Source organism: Homo sapiens, chromosome 12 (assembly GCF_000001405.40).
Source record: "Homo sapiens chromosome 12, GRCh38.p14 Primary Assembly".
NCBI classification, from domain to species: domain Eukaryota; kingdom Metazoa; phylum Chordata; class Mammalia; order Primates; family Hominidae; genus Homo; species Homo sapiens.
In genome coordinates, this window is record NC_000012.12 from 118,808,150 (window position 1) to 118,835,744 (window position 27,595).

General features: G+C 40.9%; 2 long non-coding RNA genes and 1 pseudogene across 2 annotated transcripts; 2 read left to right on the top strand and 1 right to left on the bottom strand.

Moving 5' to 3' along the window:
- Positions 1-10,059: 10,059 nt before the first annotated feature.
- Positions 10,060-26,490, top strand: LOC107984472 (uncharacterized). The gene is made up of 3 exons (XR_001749170.1): positions 10,060-10,127; positions 22,115-22,254; positions 26,456-26,490. It is a non-coding gene; the product is annotated as an uncharacterized LOC107984472 (long non-coding RNA).
- Positions 10,655-25,387, bottom strand: LINC02439 (long intergenic non-protein coding RNA 2439). The gene is made up of 3 exons (NR_134997.1): positions 25,238-25,387; positions 24,813-24,894; positions 10,655-10,872 (listed from the first exon to the last, which is right to left on the bottom strand). It is a non-coding gene; the product is annotated as a long intergenic non-protein coding RNA 2439 (long non-coding RNA).
- On the top strand, positions 21,532-21,656 carry RNA5SP374 (RNA, 5S ribosomal pseudogene 374; annotated as a pseudogene).
- Positions 26,491-27,595: the final 1,105 nt, after the last annotated feature.

Below are 27,595 nucleotides of genomic sequence, written 5' to 3' on the forward strand. Positions count from 1 at the left end.
CATTACTTGTTATTGGTGTGTTCCGGTTTTGGATTTCTTCCTGGTTCAATCTTGAGAGGTTGTATGTGTCTAGGAGTTTGTCCTTCTAGATTTTTCAATTTATTGGCATATAGTTTCTCATAGTAGCTGCTAGTGATCCTTTGAATTTCTGCAGTATCAATTGTAATGCCTCCTTTTTATTTCTGATTTTATTTATTTGCATCTTCTCTCTTTTTTCTTAGTCTGGCTAAAGGTTTGTCAATTTTGTTTAACTTTTCAAAAAACCAACTGTACATTGATTTTGTATCCTGAAACCTTGGCAAAGTTGTTTATCAGATCTAGGAGCTTTTGGACAGAGGCTATAGGGTTTTCTAGGTATAAAATCATATAGTCTTTGAAGAGAGATAGTTTGCCTTCCTCTCTTCCTATTTGGATGCCTTTTATTTCTTTCTTTTGCCTGATTGCTCTGGCTAGGACTTCCAATATTATGTTGAATAGGAGTGGCAAGAATAAGTATCTTTGTCTTGTTCCAGTTCTTAAGGGGAATGCTTCCAGCATTGGCCTGTTCAATATGATGTTTGCTGTGGGTTTTTCATAGATGGCTTCATTTTTTGAAGTATGTTCCTTCACTGCCTCATTTGTTGAGAGTTTTTAACATGAAGGGATGTTGAATTTCATCAAAAGACTTTTCTGTCCAGGTGTAGTGCCTTATGCCTATAATCTCAGCACTTTTGGAGACCGAGGCTAGCATACTGCTTGAGCCCAGGAGTTCCAAACCAGCCTGGACAACATGGCAAAGCACCATCTCTACCAAAAAAGCAAAAAAAAAAAAAAAAAAAAAAAAAAAACTACAAACAACAAACAAAAATTAACTGGATGTGGTGGCACATACCTGTAGTCTGAGCTACTCGGGAGGCTGACATGGGAAGATGGTTTGAGCCTGGGAGGCAGAGGTTGCAGTGAGCTGAGATCATGCCACTACACTCCAGGCTGGGCAACAGAGAGAGGCCCTGTCTCAGAAAAATAAATATTAACAAGTAAAAGGATTTTCTGTTTCTATTGAGAAGATCATGTGAATTTTTTCTTATTGTTCTGTTTGTGTGATGAATCATATTTATTGATTTGTGTATGTTGAGCCAACCTTGCATCCCAGGAATAAAACCTACTTGATCATGGTGGATTAGCATGTTCATGTGCTGCTGGGGATTCAGTTTGCTAGTATTTTGTTGGGAGTTTTTGCAGCTATGTTCAACAGGGATATTGGCGTGAAGATTTTTTGTTTTGTCTCTGCGAGGTTTTGGTGTTAGAAGGATGCTGGCCTCATAGAATGAGTTAGGGAGGAGTCCTTCCTTCTCAATTTTTGAGATAGTTTTGGTAGGACTGGTATCAGTCCTTCCTTGTATGTCTGTGAATTTGTCTGGTCCAAGGCTTTTATTCACTGGTAGGCTTTTTAGTACTCATTCAGTTTTTTGAACTCATTTTTGGTGTGTTCAGGGATTCAATTTCTTCCTCTTTCAATCTTGGGATGTTGGATATTTCCAGGAACATATTCACTTCTGGGTTTTCTAGTTTGTGTGCATAGAGGTGTTCATAATAGTTTTTGAGGGGTGTTCGTATTTCTGAGGGGCCGGTGGTAATGTCCACTTTGTTATTTCTGATTGTGTTTATTTGGATCTTCTCTCTTTTTTTCTTCATTAGTATAGCTAGAGTCTATCAATCTTATTTGTGTCCTTTTACTTTTCAAAGGAAGTTCCAATTTTACTATTCTGCCATCTTTATGGAGAGAACTTACTGCCATGGCTTTGTATGTGTTTTCTTTCACATTTGTATACATAGTGAGTCCTTTCACAGGTGGACCCCAGTGACGTCCCATTTCCTTTAATAAGGGTGGCGAGTCCTTCTCATTTGGGAAACCACTATTACCTTTGTGAACTGGTTGGGGTTCTGAGTCCTACATGTTTTCTGACCAAGACACAGGTGTTATTGTCATCAATTCTCAGCTACCTGGTGGATAACTACTTTCACAGAAAGGGATTGAAATTGTGACTGAAATGACATTTCAGTATTTTGGTATTTATTTTATACGGCACTGAAGTACTGGCATTTTATTTTTTTAAATATGAGGTAGAGTTGCCATTATCTTTACTATTTCATTTTCTTAACTTTTATTTTAAGTTCAGGGATACAAAAGCAGGTTTGTTACATAGGTAAACTTGTATCATGGGGGTTTGTTGTAAAGATTATTTTATTACCCAGGTATTAAGCCTAGTACCCATTAGTTATTTCTCCTGATCATCTTCCTCCTCCCACTCTTCACCCTCCAAAAGACTCCATTGTGTGTTATTCCCCTCTATGTGATGAAGGATAACATAATTGAAGTGTGCAAGTCTTAAACCTACAATCACCTCCCAGATGAAGTTATAGAACATTTGCAGTATCCTAAGAGACCCCTTCATACTTCTTCCCAGCTAATGTTCCATCTCCAGAGGTGATCAGTTCTTCTGACTTCTAACACTGTAGATTCATTTTGCCTGTTTTTGAACTTCACATAAAATCCTGAAGCAACAGTTCATCCCTTTATATCGCTGTATAGTTTTTTATTGTATGGATGTTCCACAGTTTATTTATGCATTCTTCCATTGGTGGACACCTGGGTTGTTTCCAGTTTTTTGCTATTATAAACAAAGCATGAACACAAGTCTTTGTGTGAACATATGTTTTCATTTCTCTTGGGTAATGTATTAGTCCTTTGCACACTGCTAATAAAGACATTCTGAGAATGGGTAATTTATAAAGGAAAGAGGTTTAATTGACTCACAGTTCCACATGGCTGGGAGGCCTCACAATCATGGCAGAAGGCAAATGAGGAGCAAAGTCATGTCTTTCATGGCGGCAGGCAAGAGACCTTGTGTGGGTGAACTCCCATTTTTAAAACCATCAGATCTCAACAGACTTATCACTACCCTGAGAACAATGTGGGGGAAACCGCCCCCATGATTCAATGATCTCCACCTATTGGGAGGCTGAGACAGGTGGATCACCTGAGGTCAGGGGTTCGAGACCAGCCTGGCCAACATGGTGAAACCCTGTCTCTACTAAAAGTACAAAAAAAAAAAAAAATAGCTCAGCATGGAGGCAGGTGCCTGTAATCCCAGCTACTTGGGAGGCTGAGGCAGGAGAATTGCTTGAACCTGGGAGGCAGAGGTTGCAGTGAGCTGAGATGGCATCATTGTACTCCAGCCTGGGCAACAAGAGCGAAACTCCATCTCAAAAAACAAACAAACAAACAATTATCTCCACTTAGCCCTGCCCTTGACATGTGGGGATTACTATAATTCAGGGTGAGATTTGGATGGGGACACAGCCAAATCATATCAGAAAACCTAGGAATGGGTTTCTTTGGGTTATAGGGTAGATATATGTTCAATTTTATAAGATACTTCCAGACTTTTTTTCTCAAAATGGTTGTACACTTTATATCCCCATTTGGAATGACTGAGTACTTGGCTGCTTCACATCCTAGCCAATATTATGTTGTCTGGTTTTTAGTATGCCATTTTGATGGACACATAGTGCTTTCTCATTGTGATTTTAATTTGTATTTCCCTGATGACTAATGTCATTGGGTACATTTTCCTGTGCTAACTGATTATTTGTATATCTTTTTTTGCGGAGTGTCTGTTCAAGATTTTTGACCATTTTAATTGGATTATTTTTTATTATTGAGTTATAGGACTTTCTTTTATATTCTGGATACAAGTACTTTATTTTAGACACATTTATGGTGACTATTTTCTCTCAATTAGTGGCTTCCCTACTGATTTTCTTAATGGTATCTTTTTAACGAGCTGCAGCTTTAAATTTTTATGACATCCAATTTATGAATTTAAAAAAATATGGTTAATGCTGTGAGACAATACATTTTTGTTGTTTTTATTGCCCAGTTATTACTTCGTTATAACTACCCTTGAAAACGCATACATTGGTCATTCGCTCTTTTGTAAAATTTTAAAATCAGCTTGTCAATCTCTTCTGTCTGGGATATTGATTTGAATTCCATTCAATCTGAGGAGGATGGGCATCTTAAAAATATTGGGTCTTCTGATTCATGAACATGGTATATTATTCCATTTATTCAAGTCTTCTTTAATTTCTCTCAGCATCCTTTTTTAGTTTTCAGTATACAGGTCTTCCACATTGTAAATTAAATTTATTTCTAATTATTATATCAGCAAAGATATATCAGCAAAGATATTTTTCGGCAAAGATAGATATAATAATTAGAAATAAATTTAATTTAAAATGTGCAAGACCTGTATATTTATATGCTTTAATAAATTCTGTTGTTTTCTTTGTTTTCCAATTGTTTGTTGCTTATAGAAATAAAATTTATGTTTATTATATATTGGCATGGATCTTGTGACCTTGATAAATTCATTTATTATAGTAGATTTTTTTGGATTAATTCATTAGGATTTTCTACACATAAAAGCGTGTTGTCTGTCATGGTTGACATTTGTTTAAAATAATTTGCAGTAGGATATAGCAGACTCCCTCTATGACCTTGGTCAGACATCTAATCTCACTGAACTTTGGGGGACCTCACTTACAAAGGGAAGTTATTATATAGACTCGTCTTTGAGGTTCCTTTTTGGATCTAAAATGTAGGGACCGGGCTCTACCATTTGCTTATTCTGTACCCCTGGGCAAAATACTATACCTTTCTGAGCCTCAGCTTGCTCATTTGTAAAGTGGGCATAATCATAGTAGAATATCTGTGTCATAAAGTAGTTATTAGTCTTATGCTTCCACACATAAAGACAGCTTGGGCTAGGGAAGTTTTGTAAAGGCCAGTCCAGGCACGTGGGGACATGGGGACACCATCATCAAGTGTACCCTGAGATGTGTGTATGTGTGTGCATGTGAGTGTTTATGTGGCTTCCCTAAATCCCCCAGCTTCAAACAATGGTTCTCAAAATGAAGTATTCCTTGGAATCCCCAGAGGAGCTTGTAAAAATACAGTTTCTTGGGCTCCACACCCATAGGTCTGACTCATAGCCCTAGAAGGACCCAAGAACCTTCATCTTTAACACTCTCAAGTCATTTTAATACACTGAGTTCCATGGGACTTACAGTTCCACATGGCTGGGGAGGCCTCAGAATCATAGCAGGAGGCAAAAAGCACTTCTTACATGGCGGCAGCAAGAGAAAATGAAGATGCCAAAGTGGAAACCCCTGATCAAACCATCAGATCTGGAGAGATTTATTCACTATCACAAGAACAGTATGGGAGAAACTGCCCCCATGATTCAAATTTTCTCCCACCGGGTCCCTCACACAACATGTGGGAATTATGGGAGTACAATTGAAGATGCGATTTGGGTGGAGACACAGAGCCAAACCATATCATCAGGTAAATATGTAAGCCTCCTCTCCTTACGTTTTTCTCTCTCATTCTGTATATCTCTTGTTTTGTGTCTTTGTATTTCTGTCACTCTCTGTGTTGGTCCCTTCTTTTGTCTGTCTTTCATGTGCACACATATTCTCTGTCTCTCTCGTCTGTCTCTGTATACTTGTGTCATCTCTCTGGTTGATGTCTCTGAAATGCTGCCTCTCTACATCTCTCTCATTTCTTCTTTTTCTCAAGTTGTTCTTGTGTGCTGCGGTCTCTGCCCTGTCTCTCTTGGCCTGACTCTGGCATCTCTTGCCTTTCTCTGGTCTTGCCCTGCTGTGCATCTCTCTGTGCATCTGAGCCTGTGTGTTTGTGATGCATACGTCTCTGTTATTCTCTACCTTCAGTCCTTTTCTTTTTCTCTTTTGTAAATCCCCACCCCTCTTCCACCCAGCCCGGCAGCTCTGCAGTTTTTCCTGTGAAATACAAGAAGAGTCTCCTGTGGAGAAGCCTGAAATACCAGGTCAGACGCCCAGACTCCTGTAGACCTCAGAATGTTTAGCTCTAATCAAGAGCCCCTATTGGAGTCTGACCCACTCTCCTTTAGGGCTTATCTGGGGCCCTCAGCGTCCTGTGCTGCCAGAGATAAGGTGCCTTTGGTGGCAGAGATGACTTGGGCATGACCCTCAGCAGACTAGATAAAAAGCACAGGCTCCGAGATCCTGGAGAGACCCCATCCCCCAGGTGGAAAACTGACCTTTCTATCATTGACCCTAAGCATCTCAGAGTGCACTCTTGGGGTTTATGACCCATTTAAATAGTCCTTGGAAAGATTAGACTAATTTCTTTCTTTGAGCTAATATTGTTAATTCATATTAATTAAATACTTGATTTACTCAATATTTATTGAACACACTATGAACCAGATTCTGTTCTGAGAATGTAGCAGTGAAGATTTTAAAATGCAATATTATAAATCTCAACACTCATATTATTGCGCCATGCATTGAGCACCTACTGTGTTCTAGGAGCTTAATTTATAGGAGAAGCTTTATACCAGAATTCCTTGTGGGGAGAGAACTGCCCCTTCACTGTAAAATACTTTAATTATCTGCATGTAATCATTTTAGTGATTAATTAATTACAGCTATTAATACAGTGGACAGTTAACTCCTAATATTCAGGGGTGATATTTAAATGTTTAATAAATGGTAACCTACTGCCATTGACCAATGAAAGCATTTGCCCCACTTCTCAGTTCTATTCCAATTATTTGAATAAACATCAAATTTGTCATTCATTTATTCACTCATGAAATCATTCAGTTATTCTTTCTTCCAGCATATTGTTAAGGGACTCCTGGGTATCAGCACTGTGTTAGGAACCGGGGATGTAATTAAAAGGACATCATAAGGAACTCAGAGGAGGGAGATAGAGAAAGATACTGACTGAGTTCATGGAACATGACAAAGGAAAGGTTCAGGAGTGCATACCTGGGTGTTTAACTTAGAAGAATCAGGGAAGGCTTTCTGGAGGAGGGACATTAATGCTGAGACCTAAGAGATGAACAGGGGATAATTCGATGAGGTCTGTATCTTGCCAGTTTTGAATATTCCATAGAATAGAGCCTGAACATAGTAGGGATTCACTAAATCAATAAATGAATAAAACATGATGATTCTGAAAGCAATTCTCTGGTTGAATGGTAATTGACTAGGGAAGCTATAATGGAGATGTATTATCTTTTTCAGAAACAGTACTATTAGCATGTCCTTTGTCAATGCCTGCACCCAGCACCTGACCAAGAATCAAGTGCCTTTTTCTCCACTCAAAATTCACCGTGATGTCAAAGCTTTCAGCAAATTATTCTCCTACTTACTAGCCCCAGACCAAGGGGACAAATAAGAGCCCAGGAAAATAGGCCTAGGAGGCAAAAATAGGTGAGAAAGAACATTAAGTCCTACATTTTCAAACTCATGCTTGTTGGAGGCCATGCTGATTTGTGTTCCTAGAACTTCTGTTCTTTTAGAAAAACACAAGTCTGAATTTTCATGTGAAATTTTCTAATTTTTATGTTGGAATCTAATTTTTTTAAAAAAATATTACACATAGCAAACCAGGTATCTATGGCTGTATTTGGCTGTTATTCCAGATTTAGAAGTTATTTCCTACAAATGAGGAAGGAATGAAAGGGACTTTTGTATTTACTATGCAGCCATGTTGTTTTGAACATTGTACTACATGTTCTATGGATCTTCATCATAAATATTCGTTACATGAAAATTCCTGTTATCTTATTTAATTATTGCAACAACCACATGGGACAGTTATCATAATGTCTGTTGAGGAAGATTACCAAGTTAAGTCTGCAGGGACTCAACATTAACCATAAGGAACTTAGTATTCAAACAGAATTAGAAGTAAACTAAGAAGAGGAGAATGGTTTTGAATTAGAGACCTGGTATTATAAGACTCTCAGTGGAAAGAGCCTTGAATAACCAGATAATTGTCTAGAAACCATCCTTTTGTTGGTTGGGCATCTTTTTAATTGCTTTAAATACCACTGCTCTTTTCTGCAACTTTCTTGCCTAGAGAGTTTTAACATCCTGGGATAGGAACTTGTCTCCCCTGTTATGTAAAATGAATGTAACTCATAAAGTGATTCACTATTAATTAATGTCGTGTCTGTGGTATTTCAGATCCACCTGGCTGAGCAACACTACTATACTGTCAGTTTCTGTTCTCCTGATGTTTCTGAAATAGTTAAATTGTTTGATTTAATTGTCTGTAGGAGTTGCATTTTAGAAAAGACAGTCAAAAAACACTTTCCTTAACCGTGGACTTCTGTCATTTTTGCCACTGAAGTGAGCATCCTATAACACTAGCATATCAAGAATTCCTGTATCAGTGAGGATTTCACCAGATGGGCTCTGAGGCCCCTTGGAGTGTCTCCAGGTGGGATTTAGCCAAGTTGTGGATCTGCAGATCATCCCTGTGGAGATGTTGTCTGTTCTAAGATCTGAACCCCATGAACAATCTGATAAAAGGGTTTAACTATTAATATCTCAGAGGTATTGGACAGTCAGAAACTGACCTCCCTCGTTGCTTAGCAGAATGAATCTCAAATGCCGGTGTGCATTAAACCATCAGGTTGCTTTTTAGATTGCAGATTCCTGATCCTGGTACCTAGAGAGTCTGATTCACTGGGAGTGTTTGTTACAGGAAAAAGCTAAGCAAGAGGCCCAATAATAACATGGCTTAGAAAACAAAGAAGTTATTTCTTCTGCAAGCACAACAATCCAAAGTGAGGTTTCCTTATTGGTAGAATCTGTTTCATGTGATGTGGCAGAATAAGGAGGGCCACATATTATTTGACAATCCTCTCATTGAGAAATGAGGTTGCTGTCTGCTCCCCTTGAATCTGGGCAGGCTCTGTGACTGCTTTAACCAAGAGAATGTTTTAGAAGTGACACTGTGCCAGTTCCTGGGCCCAGGATTTAAGAAACGGTAGGCTTCCACTTCTTTGATCATGTAATACTCACTCTTAGAACTCAGCAGCCATGCTGTGTGGAAGCCCAACACCCTGTGCAGAGGCACATGTGGAGAAGAGGTGGAGTTCCTAGCTGTCAGCCCTAGATGAGCTCAGTTTGCCAACTACGTGCAAGGGCTTAATTACCTCAGAGGCATTGGGCAGCCAGAAACTGACCTCTTTGTTACTTACCAGAGTTACCTTGGAAGTGGATCCTCCTGCCCCAGTTAAGCCTTCCCTCCTGGTGCCATCCTCATCAATCTCTGCCCAAATTGTACATTCACAGGTCCAATAAATGACTGTTATTTAAAGTGTCTGAGATGTAGGAGTGGTTTGTTAGGCAGCTGTTGATAACTAAACCACATAGGCATTCAAAGACCCAGGTTTCTTTCCTCTTGAGGCACCACCCCCATTCTCAACAAACATTTCTTAGTCAAGGTTAGTTATCATTTACTTAGTCAAGCTTAGGTTACAACCATATTCAGATTCTAGGCAATGGGAGAGCGTAGAGAGGCCATGCATATTTCTTATCCAGCTTGCTGAGGCCTGCCACGCATTACTTCTATTCACATTTCATTAGTGAGAACTTGTCACATGGCTGCATTCAATCACAAAGAGGACAGGGAAATGCAATCTCTAGATATGCAGCCATTTTCCAGCCACAAAGACAGAAGGGGAGAATGGGTGCTGCTGGAAGTCTAGCCGTCACCATCATACTGAGTCTGGAGCAAAGAACAGAGATCTGCCTTTGGCAACCCCCCAGGAAATTTTGATATAGGTGATCCAAGCATAGCTGTGAAAAGTATGAGTTTTGAAGTCAATCAGATCTGAGCTTAAAACTAAATTCTATTATTTACCAGCTGGGTGGCACCTGAGAGTTTTAAGTTTTTTTGTATATATAAAAATGCAGAAAATAGTAATTCCTACCTCAGGAGGTAGTTGTGCTGATTTGATAATGGCCTGCATGAAAAGTGCTAGCATAGACTTGGCACAAAACAAGATATAAAAATACGAAATAAAAATAAAAACGAGAAAAAGAAAAAAGAAAGGTTGTATTGTCAACTGAATCAAGCGTTCCATTCTATCTTTTAAAACCACCAATGTATTCAGTCATTATACTTAAAATATTCTTCTTCACCCTCATATCAACTCTAGGCTTATTCCCAATTTACAGATGAGAAAACTGAGATTCAGAGAAGTTAAGGAAGTAGACCAAAAACATCATTGGTAAGTGCTGGTGTCAAAATGTGAGCCAAGATCATTTCTGGTGGTGTTTGATTACAGATGCTGTATTAAAAATAAGTGAAGAGAAGTCAAAGGATGTTTTGGGGGCAAAGAAATCACATATCAGGACTTTGCTGTACACAGGGGAATCTGGGAGTGTTGCCATGAGATGTGTGGAATGGGGAAAAACTGAAGGCAGAAGGAGCAGCTTAGGAATAGGGTGAGGAGGTTTTGAACATGGATAATTAAAGTAAAGGCTAAGTGAATATCTGTCTTCCTGCTGCAGTTATTTACCTACACAGAGGCAAACCTAGAAATAGCAGTTCCATTCCTCACTCAAGAAGGCCCTGCCAAACTGACCACCCAGTGCTTCCACTCATGGGGGATATGACTGAAAATGTTTTTAGCATTGGTTCCAGAAACTAGAGACAGTTTTTGTGTGCCTCAGTTTCCCTATTTGGAAAACGGAAATTCAATGCCAGTGATGGCTATTTCACAGAGATTCAGTAAGAAAATGCATGGAAATAGACTTTTTAAAGTTACAGTCGTCAACCCGATGTTAAGGTTTTACTGTACCTTGAGCAACATGCAACAGCAGAAAGCACTCATATAAACTTCAACTTCATGATTGATTCTTTGTATCTTAATTTTGTAAATTTAAAATTTCAGATATTAAAGAATGAGGTAGTGGAGGGAGATTTTCTTGTGTTGTTTCCATGGTGACCAACTTGCAGGCATTAACTGCTGGCTGAAATAAAGATAAGTAAGAAAAAGATGGCAAAGTGACTGGATATGGTGGCTCACGCCTGTAATCCCAGCACTTTGGGAGGCCAAGGTGGAAGGAGTTTGTAAACAGGAGTTCAAGACCAGCTGGGGCAACATAGGGAGACCCTGTCTCAATAAAACATAAAAAATTAGCCCTGTGTGATGGTGCATGCCCGTGGTCCCAGCTCCTTGGGAGGCTGAGGTGGGAGGATCACTTCACCTCAGGAGGTTGAGACTGCAGTGAGCTGGGATCATGCCACTGCACTCCAATCACAGTGACAGAACAAGACCCTGTCTCTAAAATAAAAAATGGCAAAGTGCTTTGCACAGTGCCCGGATCATAGTAAACAATCACCACCTCTATTAAAGCAGCATAGACATAGAGGCTTGTCATGAAGAGTATCATGAGAAATTCTCTTCTGCTTTGGAATGTTTCAGCCTGAATATTTTGAGATTTAAAACATTTCTAAAGCAGGGAAACTTTACGGGATAAGACTTGGACAAGGAGTCTGATTTGTGGATTTCCCCTTATTCTGAGCCAACTGCACCATGGGGCTTCACCTATCCCAGTTTCTTTGTGTCTTGTTTAAGAAACCTTTGCCTATCTCAAGCTCAAGATATTCTTCTATATTGCCTCTAGAAGTTTTATCATGTTTCCAATCACATGGAGATCTACAATCCACCTGGAATTGATTTTTGTATATAATATGAGGTAGAGACCAAGATTCAAATTTGTCCATGTGGATGGCCAATTGACCCAGAACCTTTCATTGAGAAAGCTATTGTTTCTCCATCACTCTCCAATGGCACCTTTCTTATAAATCAAGTGTCCCTGGGCTGGGCACAGTGGTTCATGCCTGTAATCCCAGCACCTTGGGTGGCCAAGGTAGGAGGATTATTTGAGGCCAGGGGTTCGAGACCAGTCTAGGCAACATAGGGAGACCCCGTCTCTACAAAAAATTAAAGAATTAGCTAGGCTTGGTGGTGTCTACCTGTAGTCCCAGCTACTTGGGAGGCTGAGGCAGGAGCATCACTTGAGCCTGGGAGGTCAAGGCTACAGTGAGCCATGATCACACCACTGCACTCTAGCCTGGGCAACAGAGCAAGACCCTGCCTCAAAATAAAATAAAATAAAATAAAGTGTCTCTATGTGTGAGGGGTTTCATTCTGAGCTCTTTATGCTGTTCCACTGGTCTATTTTTTTTTTCCTGTATCAAAGTGTGCTCCTTTAATTCCTCTGGCTTTATTATAACTCCTGATATCCAGTCATGAAAATCATCTGACTTTGTTCTTCTTTGTGATAATCTTGGCTTTTGATTTTCCACACATATTTCAGAATCACCTTGTAAATTTCCACCAAAACAAAAACTTGCTGGGGTTTTCATTCTGATTACAGTGTCTATATCAATTTGGGGAGGATTGATGTCCTCACAGTATTGATTTTTTTTCACAATAACCCTGTGCAGTAGGTTCTGTTGTTATCCCACTTGACAAATGTGTTCTTCCTGTGTAGCTGGGGCACAGGAATGTGAATGAATCCTGTGATCTACCAAGGAAAAAGAGTGGGCATGGTTTGCCCCTCCTGGAAGATATATTTTATCATTGACTTTGTTTAGAATTACTGGCACATGACAGTAATATAAAGCACACTGATTGTAGTCAGTATGATTATATTGCTTTTAAATTTTTTCTTTCTTTTTTTTTTTTTTTTTTTTTTTTTGAGACAAGGTCCCATTCTGTCACTCAGGCTGAAGTGCAGTGGCACAATCATGGCTCACTGCTGCCTTGACCTCCTAGGCTCAGGTGATCCTACTGCCTCAGCCTCCTGAGTAGCTGGGAACCACAGGTGTGCACCACCATGCGTGGCTAATTTTTTAAGCATGTGTAGGGATGGAGTCTCCTTATGTTGCCCAAGCTGGTCTTGAACTCCTGGGCTCCAGCAATCATCCCACCTCAGCCTCCCCAAATTCTGGGATTACAGGCGTGAGCCACTGTGGCCAGCCCTTTTAAATTTTCTACTAATCATGCACCTGTCACTCTGTGCAGCTGGGGCAGGCCAGTCCCACTGCCCTTAATGTGCCGCCAACCTAATCTCACCAATTTGATTAACCAATGAAAGACATCAATCTGGAAGTGAGAAACACAGGTAGGTAAATATAAGTGATGTCTTTTTTTTGGATGAACATGGTGGAAGACACACTCAGCTTTTCACGGGGAGCAATGGCAGGGGAGTTGTGATATAAATGAGCCATAAATGGCCTCTGTATATTAACCCTAAGTTGGCCTCTGTATATTGGCCCTTGGTTGTTTATTTTTTCACTGTAGGCTGAGACCTATTAGGTAAAAAGCCCAAGAAATGAAATTCAAATTTTTGCACATCCAATTGTTTTAAAAATAGCCCGAACAGATTTCCCGTCATTTAGAGCCTATGCTGGAAAACCTCAGCTCTTAGCCATTGATAAGAAAGGGCCTTGTAATTATGAGGCCCCAGGCCACTGCTGCCCTTTGGAGCTCTCTGACTCAGAGACCACTGTGCTGATGAGCCCCAGCATCTAGACAAATAACCTACTGTCTGATCCCCTTTCTTTGAGGAGTCCCCTTGCCCTCCTCTCCTCTGGATGGTCTCCTGCTGTAAGGACTTCACCTGTCATGCAGCCACTTTCAAGCACTGCTCAGTAATGCTTGTGGTGTATTACTGCCTCTGCTGGTCATATCCTTTTCCTTGATCAGCTTCGAAATGGAAACCCCTAACAGAGGTGTTGTTTAAAACAGTTAAACTGAGGTGTCTGTAGCATAGCGGTAGCAGTTGTCCTTGCTGAAGTGTCGCAGGTTAGATTTATTCCTGACAATACAGCAGTCCCTCTTAATCCTCAGGGGATATGTTCCAAGACCCCCAGTGGATTCCTGAAACCACAGATAGTACTGTACCTAATTGCCATCCACTGGAAGACATTTCTGTTCATGTCTTCCACCTACAAATGTAATGCATTTTCCTTCTTAACTAAGCACTTATCACGCACTGTAGCCATGACTTTTGCAGTCTGAGATACAATAGCAAAACTCGCATGAATTTCTTTTTCCTTTTTCACAATTTCACGGATAGAAGATTCGTTCTTACTGTAGATCTTAGCAACCTCAGCATATGATTTTTTTTCTTCCGTCATTAAGTCGAGAACTTTCACCTTTTTTACATTAAGGAAGCATTTTGGCATATCCAAATTGCTAGCATCACCGCTCTTGTGCTTTGGGGCCATTATTAAGTAAAATAAAGGTTACTTGAACACAAGCACTGCAATACTGTGACAGTCGATCTGATGACCTAGATGGCTACTAAGTGACTGACAGGTGGGGATGCTGGACAAAGGGAGGATTCCCCGTGCGGGGTGGGACAGAATGAGATGGCTGGAGATTTCATCACGCTATTCCATGCCTCCCCAATCTAGTTCATTTGTTGCCATCTTTCTCTACTGCATGCCAACCCAGACTTCCAACATACCAAATTTTGCCCAGCTCACACACGTCAGACACCTCCTTGTCCAGAGCCAAGGATGAGAGAAATAGCAATTAGGATTCTGTCATTGAGCTGGAGTATAATGAATGGTGTCTCCCTTTGTAGTGGCCCCCCTTTGGGAATGACTCCATGTGTTCAGGAGCCCTTGAGCTCCCCCGTCCATTTGGCCAGTGTTCAATGACATCATGCAGAAGGAACCAGCATGCTGCTGGCTAAAGGACCCCAGTAAGTCATGCTGTGGATGTGAGAAATCAGCTAGGCCTTCCCAGAAAGGCATCCTCATCCAAGGTACCATTAGTAATGCTGCTATTTGCAATCATAATAAAAATAAAAGTAATAGGAAAATCGCATAGAGGCAATTCTGCTGCCTACTGGATTTTTAATTTTCTTGAGGATGCCAGCGGCAATCTTGGGCCCATTATGTCTAAATGAGGCACATTATAAAAGGCTTGCAAAGTCCAAACTGCTTTTACAGTCATTAATTAGCCAGACTTGTAAATAGGCCCATAAGATTAAGCTTGGGTATGGTCTCTGGTCTCTAGAATGGGGCTGTAGTATGCAGGGAAGTCAAATATCAGTTGTTCAGTCATTATCTGCCCTTCTTTCTTATCTCAGTTCTAATCAGATGTTGCCTTTTTGGGGGGTTGAAAGAGGGAGATGCTACACAACCAAACACCTGATGAGAATGCTCTGAACTTCCCTGCAAGGCTGTGGGCAGTGTGAGCACAGGGACTGATGGTGTCATCTTAGTTCCTGTACACACAGCATCTTATACTCAGCAGGTGTATCAGCCAGCATTTCTGGCAAGTGAAAGGAATTTCACTCTGGCTTTCTTCACCTAAAAGAAAACATACAAGAAGGATTTGGGGGTGCATGAAATGAATGAATGAGAAACTGAAGAATCAGGCTTGCAAGAGAATAAGCACCAGGAATTCCAGCAAATGTCCAGCAGCAGGAATGGTGTGGTTCATGACTTTAACCGTCTTCAGGCACTTGCTCAAGATTCAGAGCCTATATATATATATATATATATATATGTGTGTGTGTGTGTGTGTGTGTATATGTATATATATGTGTGTGTATATATATGTGTATGTATGTATATATACGTATATATACGTGTATATATATACATATATATGTGTATATATAGGCTCAGAATCTTGAATGTATATATGTATATATGTATGTATATATGTATATATATGTATATATGTGTATATATATGTATATGTGTATATATGTGTGTGTGTGTGTGTGTGTGTGTGTATATATATATATATATATATATCCTAACCACCAAGACCTCAGAATGTGACCTTCTTTGAAAATAGGGGTTTTGCAGAAGTATTAGTTACGGTGAAGTCATATGTATGGCAGGTGTCCTCATAAGAAGACAGCCATGGGGAGGCACAGAGATACAGGGTGAATGCCAACTGAAGAGAGAGGCAGAGACTAGAGTGATGCATTTGCAAGCTAAGGATTGCTGGAAGCTACCAAAAGCTAGGAGAGACGCATGGAACAGATTCTCCCTTAGAAACTTTGGGAGTAACCAGTCCTGCCATTCCCTTGATCTCAGACAGCTCGACTCCAGAACAGGGAGACAATTTCTGTTGTTTGAAGAAACCCAGTTTGTGGTACTTTGTTATAGGAGCCCTAGGAAAATAGTAGAGATGATCTGAAGGCTTGAACCTGAGCAACTACAAGGTTATGGTTGCCATTGATTAAGGTAAGGAACACTAGATAAGGTTCTCCATAGAGAGGGTAAATGACAATTGTATGCATATGTGATTCTGGGTTTACCAGACAGATTAAGTTTATTCCTATAGAACAGAGTTTCTCAGTCATGGCACTAACTATATTTGAAGCCAGATAATTATTTGTTATGCAGGTCTGTCCTATGCATTGTAGGATGTGTTTGCAGCATCCCTGGCTTCTGCTATACAGATACTACTAACACCAGCCACCCTACCCAAGTCATTACAATAAAAAAAGTCTTCAGAGGCCGGGCGCGGTGGCTCACGCCTGTAATCCCAGCACTTTGGGAGGCCGAGGCGGGTGGATCATGAGGTCAGGAGATCGAGACCATCCTGGCTAACAAGGTGAAACCCCGTCTCTACTAAAAATACAAAAAAAAAAATTAGCCGGGCGCGGTGGCGGGCGCCTGTAGTCCCAGCTACTCAGGAGGCTGAGGCAGGAGAATGGCGTGAACCCGGGAAGCGGAGCTTGCAGTGAGCCGAGATTGCGCCACTGCAGTCCGCAGTCCGGCCTGGGCGACAGAGCGAGACTCCGTCTCAAAAAAAAAAAAAAAAAAAAAGTCTTCAGTCATTGATATGCTTTAGGAGGTGTTTTAGTCCACTTGGGCTGCCGTAACAAAATAATCTTAGATTAGGTAATTTATAAACAGCAGAAATTTATTGCTCACAGTTTGGGAGGCTGGGAAGTCCAAGATCAAGGCACCAGCAGATTTAGTGTCTGGTGAGCATGCTCTCTCTCTCTCTCTCTCCCTTTGAGACAGGGTCCTGCTCTATTGCCCAGGCTGATGTGCAATAGCATGATCATGGTTCACTGCAGCCTTGACCTCCCAGGCTCAAGCAATCCTCCCACCTCAGCTTCCTGAACAGCTGGGACTACAGGTGTGTGACACCATGCCTGGCTAATTTTTAAATCTTTGTGCAGAGACAGGGTCTTCCTCTCTTGCGTAGGCTGGTCTTGAACTCCTGAGCTCAAGCGATCCTCCAGCCTCTGCCTCCCAAAGTGCTGGCATTACAGGTGGGCTTTCTCTCTCCTTCAAAGATGGCATTTCCCTCTGGTAGAAGAAGCAAGCAAGCTCCCTCAAACTTCTTTTATAAGGACACAAATTACATTTATAAGGGCAGAGCCCTCATAGCCTAATCACATCCCAAAGACCCCACCTCTTAATACCACCACATTGGGGATTAGGTTCAACATATGAATTTGAGGGGAGGGTGCACAAACATTCATATCATAGCAGGGGACAAAATTGTCTTTGGTTAAGAACCATTGTATAAAAAAACTGGAGCTAGGCTGGGCTTGGTGGCTCATGCCTGCAATCCTAGCATTTTGGGAGGCTGAGGTGGGCAGACTGCCAGAGCTCAGGAGTTCGAGAACAGCCTGTGCAACATGGTGAAACCCTGTCTCTACTAAAAATACAAAAAGTTAGCTGGGCTTGGTGGCATTCACCGGTAGTCCCAGCTTGGGGGGCTGAGGTAGGAGAATCGCTTGAGCCCAGGAGGCGGAGGTTGCAGTGAGCCAAGACACGCCACTGCACTCCAGTTTGGGTGACAGAGCGAGACTCTGACTCCAGAAAAAAAAAAAAAGGAAAGAGAGAAGAAGGAAGGAAGGAAACAGAGAGAGAGAAAGAAAGAAACAAAAAGAAAGAAAGAAAGAAAAGAAAAGAAAGAGAAGGAAGGAAGGAAGAGAAAGAAAGAGAAAGAAAGAAAGAAAGAAAGAAAAGAAAGAAAGAAAGAAAGAAAGAAAGAAAGAAAGAAAGAAACTCCCAGAACCTACATTTACTGAAACTTGAATCTTTATTCATCTATGGATTCCTCAACATATTTATTACTTCACTGAAAGTTCTCATGAGAGCCTCCTTTCGGTTTGAGCCAATTAATACCATCTGGTCATATTCATTTAATTGTTTATCATGTATTTCCATTCTAGAATATAACTCCACGAGGGCAAGGATTTTGCTTGTCTTGTTCCCAAATGTATCTGTCTCAAAAAAAAAAAAAAAGATTGACTAGAACAATATTGGTGGAAAAGGTTCTGAACTGTAGAATGCTGCACATATGGAAGCCACTAGACATTTCCTGCCTGGCCCATTTAGGTGTCTCTGCAAGTAATTCAGAAAGGCTCTTTTGAACCAATTTTTAAAAATTATTTTTGAGTTACACATGGCTATATTCTTCTTTTTTAAAAAAATTAAAACATTATAAATAAAGATAGAACTCTTTTAATCACCCCCTCAATCTTTATTCCTTTTCCACCTCTTTCTTCTGGAATGTATCCTTCCACACCTTTCTCTGTGTTGCAAAAAGTGTGCATAGAAAATATGTAGGGCTGGGTACAGTGGCTCACACCTATAATCCCAGAACTTTGGGAGGCCAAGGGGAAGAATCACTTGACGCCTGGAGTTTGAGAGCAGCCTGGGCAACATAGTGAGACCCCATCTCTATTTTTAAAAATCACAAATCATAAATAAATAAAGAAATATATAGCATTATTTCACCTGTGTTTTGTATATACAGACATAAATCATATTACACTGTATGTATCATATTGCAACTTGCTTTTTTTAATTCAAAGGGGAAAAGTATGTTGTTAAAATCCTTGAAAAGTAGTATGGCTTTTGGAGCTAGATGACCTGGTTTTGAATGTCCTGTGTACTCATGTGAACTTGGGCACATTATTTAACATCTTGGTGCCTCAGTTGTTCTGTTAGCATAATTTGGGAACCTCCTCAATAACTGTTGTAAGGATTAAGCTGTTTATTGTGGGTAGGCATTTAGGAGAGTTTCTGGAGCATCCCTGCCCCTGGACAAGTGTGCATGGATATTATTATCTATCTGACAGAGGACGTGGTCCTTTTGCTGCTACAAAGTATTTCACAGTGTGGTTATTTCCCCATTGATGGATATTAGATCATTTCCTGTATTTTGGCTATTACAAGCAACTCAGTGTTGAAAATCTTTGTGTAGCTCTCATTGTGCACATCCATCTGCATTCTTCTCTAGGATAGATGCCAGGGAAAGAAATCTCTGGATCCTAGGGCACATGCATTTTTTAGTTTTAATAAATATTGCCAAACAGTCCCCCAAAGGGGCTGAACCAAGGTACACTCCTATCTGTAGAGTGTGAGGATCAAATTCTTACCAGGTTGAATCTGTGTTTTTGGATAAACCTAACCCCTCTCATGTTCATTAAGCCACATCTATTTTCAGAGCTCAGTCGACATCTCTGGCTGCTCCCTCTTCATTTTTCCAGCTTTGTGTCCTCAAGCAGCTCCTTGCTATTGTTTTCCTTCCTGACTCTTGTTTAATGCGGCCAAGTGCTTTTGGAATCCTGGGTAATAATGGCAGACAACATGCAGTGGGTATGGGAAATTGGAGGTGCTGAATATAGCATTTGTAAGGAGTCTTTGGCATGATTTCAGCCTGAAACGGAGCACTTTGCACTCAACCTAAATTGCCTCAATTGCACCTGGCATGCTGGGTGGAGGTGGCACAACTCATACGGTCTGAATATTTCTCCGGAACAGGATGGGCTGTCTTCCCCAGCCTTCGAAGCAGGACACCAACTTACCACGGAGATAAGACTTAAACCTAGCTTTGGACTTGAAACAGCACTTTCCTTTTAAACCCTACAGATGTCAGCAAAAGACCTTTTGTTGGTAATCTTGGGGGGTGGTAATTCCTTAATATAAAGAAAAGAAAAATTTGGTAATTTAGGGCCTCAACTGACTATCCTAAAATCCACTTCATTTATTCATTATTATTTTGGGAGAAGTGTAAGATTTGCAAAACAGAACTGAAAAGATTCTCCAAAAATTCCAAATAAGCACCTTAGCAGCTCCCTGGGAGGAGAAGATGAATTTAAAGCGATCATATATTTTTATTTTTTCACCCAAAGTTTACCCCACAGCAACCTTTCATCATGATGATTGTGTTTAGTCAACTATCAGCTTAGGTGACTGTTTTGTTCTATTTGCTCTCCCTGCCTGGAAAAAAAAAGGGCTTTGAAATAAATTTCTGGAATAGTGCTTGGCATTCAAATGCTAATGAGATAGTGAGGCAAAGCGTTGGACGCTAAATGTTTACATTAAAATGGAAATATGTAATCGATTTTTCCAATAGGGTCTTCTATTCACTGTTAAAATATACTTTATGAGACTAAAAACAAAACAACCACAAAAAAATCGCCCTCTGTAAGTAATACCGGCTGAGGCAGCAACTTCTTGGTGAGCTACAGCCCCGACCAGGTATAGAGATAATTGTTTCCAATACTGCATCAGTACACACCATTGTCCTTGTTATAATAAAAAGAAAGGGAGATTCATTTCTTATCTAAGCATGGGATTATTATCACTGTAGGTACTTTCTTTCTTTCTTTCTTTTTTTGAGACGGAATCTCACTCTGTCACTGAAGCTGGAGTGCAGTGGTGCAATCTGGGCTCACTGCAACCTCTGTCTCTAGGGTTCAAGCAATTCTCCTGCCTCAGCCTCCATAGTAGCTAAGAGTAAAGGCACGTGCCACCACGCCTGGCTAATTTTTGTATTTTTAGTAGAGACAGGGTTTCACCATATTGGCGAGGCTGGTCTCAAACTTCTGACCTCATGATCTACTCACCTTGGCCAAAGTACTGGGATTACAGGTATGAGCCACCGCACCAGCCACTGTAGGTACTTTTTTAATGGTGGTGATTACTGAGTAAAATAATATCTTCTTTTTAGATGCCTCTCTCCAACCCCCCACCCCCAAAAAGTTGATCTTTCGAAATGATAATGTTGAAATTCTTTTAGTCTATTTGTTTGACCATTCTAGATGGTTTGAGAAAAAGTGGATTAAACACTAGTGTTTTGGAGTTTGAGAGATGTAAATTGGAATTGAAGCTCTGCCATTTCCTGGCTGTGCAGCTTAGGGTTTCTTTGAGCCTTGGTCGTCACATCTGAAAAATGCTGCTCAGGCTGAAAGAAGAGCTGGGTTACCAGAAAATATGGAAAAGAAAGCCCACTTTAGATAAAAATTCAAAATATCTTCCTATTATGGGCACAAGATATCAATAATAAAATGAACTAATGTTTATCTTGTGTTCATTATATGCCAGTCACTGTTTAAAAGCTATTTGCATTAACAAATGTAATTCTTCTAATAACTTTATTAAGTAGATACTATTATTAGGTAGGTACTTATATCAGTTTTAAACATAGTGGTTAACTTATTCAAACAAATATTTACTGAATGTGTTTGCATTTCTCAGCAAAATAGGATTAGTTGATTTATTCATTAAAATGTATATTAAGTACCTACTGTGTACCAGGCATATATAATTCTGGAGATATATTGGTGAGCAAAATTAAGAGTCTTTGCTCTTAGAGAAATTAGCATCTTGCCTACAACCATACCACCCTGAACGTGCCCGATCTCATCTAATCTTGGAAGCTAAGCAGGATCGGGCCTGGTTAATACTTGGATGGCAGAAGTTAGAGTCTGGGTAAAAAGGTAGATTGTATTCAGCTTCTCTAAAAAATGATGAATTGTTATAAAGTGAACAATATGTGAAGGATACAGCGACTTGCTCCTGTAAGAGAAGCTAACAAAGACATCTGTTGTAGACTGGGAAAGTGACTTGGGTGCTGAAATCTAAAGGAGATGCCAGAATTGATTAAGTGAGGAACAGAGCATAGGTGGGTGTGTTCCAGGCAGTGGGAGCAGTCCTTGCATAGGCCCCAGAGTGGGAGGAACATGGGTTGTGAGAGAGAGCCCCCCTTTAACCCATTTCCATCTCTCTTTCCCATCCTGGAAAGTGAAGAGGATCGGGGCATTTTTCCAGCACTTTAATTAAGAGGGCCACTGTGCTGTTGAGTGGTAAAGAGGAAAAGGTGTGTTATAAGATGTGGAATCATGACCATAACTCAGTTTTGTTCGAAAACGATTTTCTGGGGCTCTTGCCAATGTCTCCTTGCTTCCCTAGAAGCTGAGAGACCCAAGTCAAGGTAAAGAGAAGAAGGAACCTCTGTGAATGAAGCCTAAAGAACCAATATGGCAGCTCAATATGCCACAAGCTACAGGGAAAGCCTTGAGGGGAGCTGTTGTCTCAGCATCATGGAACAGGTGCGTAACACAGTACATGAATGATGGAGACAGCACCATGTAATTGCCTGACAGATGTTCTGGGATCTTATTACACCATGTTAGACTTGGGCAGGAGCATCTCAAAATTGCAATTCCTCCCATGGGTGGGGAGTGTGTGTGCACCCACCAGTGACTGAAAGTATGCCAAGTGTTCTAAGCCTCCTGAAACAAACTGGAATAGAAGTGTGAAATTTTGTAACTGTGATGGTTAATGATACTCTGCTTCTCAGCAGAACCAGAAATATTCTTGTTAAAATGCCCTGTGTTCTACCAACAAAAGCGGCAATGCGTGTTGAATGTTTCCAGCCTCAAGGGCCTTCCTCAGCTCTGTGTGTATGTGTGTGTGTGCATGCACGTGTGCCCACACATGCATGCATGAGGGTAAACACTAGACATAGAGATGGGGAAATGTATCTAATTTGGAAAATATCTCCGAAATTGCCACCGTAGCCTGTAAAATTGAGAAATAAACATGAAATTCTTGTATTTTTCCCAATAATTACCACAAGGACAGTCTCTGTTATACTTCCCACACTCATCTGGCCTTCTTGCTCCCTGGTAAGTCAATTAGATCCCATAACTTTTCAATCTCCATGGGCTATTAAAATAGCCTAGTTACTGGTCCATGTTTTTCTATTTTTTATTATATTAAAATATAACAAAATTTATCATCTTAACTATTTTTAAGTGTATAGTTCTGTGGGATTAAGCACCTATCGTTGTCCAACCATCACTACCATCCGTCTCAAGAGCCCTATTCATCAAGCAAAACTGACTCTGTGCTCATTAAATAACTCCCTACTCCCTTTCTCCCTAAATCCCTCGTAACCGTCATTCTACTTTCTGTCTTTGTGAATTTGACTACTCTCGGCACTTCATAAGTACGTGACATCATGAAGTATTTGTCTTTTTGTGACTGGCTTATTTCACTCAGCATAATGTCCTCAAGGCTCATCCATATTGTGGCATGTGTCAGAATTTCTTTCTTTTCTTTTTTCTTTTTCTTTTTTTGAGACAGAAGTCTTGCTCTTTTGCCCATGCTCAAGTGCAATGGTGTGATCACAACTCACTGCAGTCTCAACCTCCTGAGCTCAAGTGATCCTCCTGCCACAGCTTCCCAAGTAGCTGGGACCACAGACACACGCCACCATGCCTGGCTATTTTTAAAATTTTTTTGCAGAGATGGGGTCTCGCCATATTACCTACGTTGGTTTTGAACTCCTAGCTCCAGCAATCCTCCTGCCTCAGCCTCCCAAAGTGCTGGGATTATAGGCATGAGCCACGGCACCTGATTCCTTCTTTGTTTAAGGCTAAATAATAGTCAAATATATATATATGTGTGTGTGTGTGTGTGTGTGTGTATATATATACATATATATGTATATATATATACACACATATATATATACACACACACACACACACACACACATATATATATATTTCACATTATGCTTATCCATTCATCCATTGATGGACTCTTGGGTTGCTTCCACATATTAGCTGTTGTGAATAATGCTGCTGTGAATATGGGTGTACAAACATCTTGAGATCCTTCTCTCAGTTCTCTTGGGAATATGCCCAGAAGTGGGATTGTGGATTATATGATAACTCTTTTTTTTTAGGAACTACCATACTGTTTTCCACAGTGGCTGCACCATTTTATATTCCCACCAACCATGCACAAGGGTCCCAATTTTACAATCCAGTCGATTTTTAAACTTCGATTTTATACTCACTTCCAAGTTCCCCCTTTCAGTTCTCCAGCATTGGCTGGGCTGGCGAGGTTGGTCTGGCCTGCCCTCTTCCTGCCTCCCACACACTTTCCTGCTTCTTTTCTGCTATGTTAAAGTGGGAAGGAGGAAGGGGAGAAGAGGGCGTTTCCTCATGACATTGTTGTTGGTGAGCTGATCGTTTTCCTGTCTGTTGTCTCCACACGGGAGCATCTCCGTGCTAGGAGTTAGGGCTGCTTCTTTCTGTTGGTCATTTCCACAGATCTGGCTTCATTGTCCATAAACTCAGTGTGGTAGGTGGAGACCCCAACAGACTTTCCTGGTAATGAATTCAATCTTTACAAAATGTTATTGCTTTTCTTCCTACTGGGCCTCAAGAGCTATATATTTATGTTAATTTCTTGTCTGAGGATTTCTATATCATGTGGGGAGTATAAAAATCAGACCCACACACCATGATATGTGCATGCTTGGGGTTCCAGTTTCTTATAGGAGACTTTTTTCCACATTGTAGTAATGCCCTAAGCTGTATTCCTTTGAGACTTTTTTTTTTAAGAGACAAGGTCTCGCTCTGTTGCCCAGGCTGGAGTACAGTGGTGCAATCATAGCTCACTGTATCTTCAAACTCCTGGGCTCAAGTGATCCTCCCACCTAAGCCCCCTGAGTAACTAGGACAACAGGCATGCACCACCATGCCCAGCTAATTTTATTTTCTGTAGAGATGGGGTCTCACTATGTTGCCCAGGCTGGGAGTTTTTTTTTTTTTAAGCTGCAACGTTTCCCAGTGTGTGTCTGACAGCTTACCTTCAGCCTACCTTAAGTGCTTGCTTCTCCTTCTCTGTGTAGGAGCTCTCTTGGGTTTCATAGGAGCTTTTCTGGCTGAGTTCTGTACAGTGTGGAAACACAAGGGAAGTTAATACCCTCAGAGCAACCCTCAACATTTGGGGGATGAGAGTTGATGGATAAATGTACCATCCCCCATCTGAGGTGGAATGATTCCTAAGTGAGTTCTACACAGGCTCCCAGAGGTCCCCAGCAGGACTGAACCTCAATTGCCCACGACAGTGACTTGCTTATTATGAACCCATTACTGATTTTTCTTCTCTTTTCCTCTCTTTCTTCCCCCATTTCCTCACTATGCTTCCTGAGATCACCTCCTGAATAAACTAACTGAATCCAAATCTTTGTTTCAGAGTCTGCTTTGGGGGGACCCAGACTAAAAGACCCACCGAGAGCCCAGACTCATCTGTGCTAGTGGGAAACCTTTCTGCTTCTGTTCCCTTTGAGAGACCTCACTTTATTCAAGTCTCACATTCGGCTCCCCTCTTTGCAGAGCCCCAAATCCATGTCCCTTGTTGCCATAGTGACATTAGAACTCCAGCCCTCAGCCGCTCGGAGCTTGTGTTCTGTGTCTGAACTCCCCCGGGTTGCCCTGGTCTCAGCTGGAGTTCACCCACATAGTATTTAGTTCTTTTTGTTTTACTTTTGACCCTTTGGGGTGGGTGTTCTTTTGTTTGAGCCTGGCTCTCCATTACTTAATTATTTCTAATTAGCATTTTTGTGGCATTGAGGTTGCCTGTGCCCGTCAATGGGTCATGTTCCCAGGAGTCTATGTCTTTCAATCAGCAGTGTGGTTGGATGATTCTACTCACTGGAGTTACATCAGTGAAAGACCAGAAGGCCCTGCCCTCAGGGGTCTTACATTCTAGTATGGGGAGATGAAGTATAAACAATAAATAGATACACATGGAATATATAAGTCAGGTGATGATCTGTGTCATGGAGAAAAATAAAAGAATAAAGGAGGATGGAGGAGGAAGGGAAGGAGGGGCTAGAGGACTGATACTTTACATAGGGCAGCTGGGGAGTCCTCACTTATAAAGTGGTATTTGAGCAGAGACCTGATAGAAAAAGGAGAAGGAATGCTGTGGCTCTCTGGAGGAAGAGCATTCCAGGCAGAGGCAGTCACAGGTACGGAGGCTGTAAGGCAGGAATATGCTTGGCATGTTCCAGGGGCAACAGGGAGGTGGAAGTGGCTGGATTGGAATGAGGGAAGGGGAGTATGGAGGAGAAAGACAGAAGGTAGCTGGGTCAGAAGGTGGCAAGGACAGAAGGTAGCTGGGTCAGATCATGCAGGGACATGTTGGCCATAGGAGGGATTTGGTTTATATCATGAATAAGATTGAGGGGGTCATGAGTAGAGAAGTGATGGGATCTGACTTCAACCCAGCAATTTTGCTACTGGGTATTTATCCAAAGGAAAAGAAATCATTATATAAACAAGACACTTGCACTCATATGTTTATCGCAGCAGTATTCACAATAGCAAAGTCACAGAATCAACCTAAGTGTCTATCAATGGATGCTTGGATAAACAAAATGTGGTACATATACACAATGGAGATACTATGCAACCATAAAAAATAATGAAATCATATCTTTTGCAGCAACATGGATGGAGCTGGAGGCCATTATTCTAAGAGCAATAACTCAGAAACAGAAAATCAAGTACCGCATGTTCTCACTTATAAGTGGAAGCTAAACAGTGAGTACACACAGATACATAGATTGAAAGAATAGACACCGGGGACTCCAAAATGGGGGAGGATGGTGAGGATTTAAAACACTACCTATTGCATATAGTGTTCACTGTTTGAATGATGAGTACACTAAAAACCCAAACCTCACCATTAAACAATATATTTATGTAACAAACCATCACATGTGCCCCCTGAATCTAAAATAAAAATAAAATATTGAGCCCAGGGGCTCAAGACCACCCTGGGAAACCAACATAGAAAGACCCCCCCCATCTCTACAAAAAAATTAAAAAATTAGTCAGGTGTGGTGGCAGGTGTCTGCAAGTCCTAACTTCTCAGGAGGCTGAAGTGGGAGGATTGCTTGAGCCCAGGAGTTTGAGGCTGCAGTGAGCTATGATTATGCCATTGCACTTTAGGCTGGACAACAGAGTGAGACCCAAAATAAATAAATAAAATAAAATAAAAGTCAAAGGGGGAAAATAAATAGAATATAGGGAAGCAAGGGTAGACCAGGAGACTGCTTAGAAGCCTGTTGCATTAACCTGAGTGAGGGGGCACAGTGGCTTCGATCTGGGTAGCAACACCAGATTCTGGGAATATTTTGAAATGTGAGTTGCTGATGGATAAGATGTGGGAGATAATGAAAAGAGAGGCATTGAGGATAACTCCAGGGTTTTTGGCCTAAGCAATTGATTGGATAGAGTTGCCATTTGCTGAGATAAGAAAGACTAGGGAGGGATGGGTTTGGTAAGAGTATCAGGAGTTCAGTATTGGATATGTTAAGTCCATCATGTTACAGGACATACAGATGAAGACGTTGAGTAAGCAATGGATTATGAGACTATGGGGTTCAAGGCAGAGGCCGTGTAGCTCACGGTCTAGTGGGAAATACTGGTAAATAAATGGGCAAATTGTTCCAAAACAATGTGTAAGTGTGACTATAGTGTGAGTGTAATGGGCTAGGGAAACACACAGAAGGGACACGGACTTGTGCTGTTGGGAAATGCCATTGGAACAAGTGATATTTAAGCTGCAACCTTGAAGCCA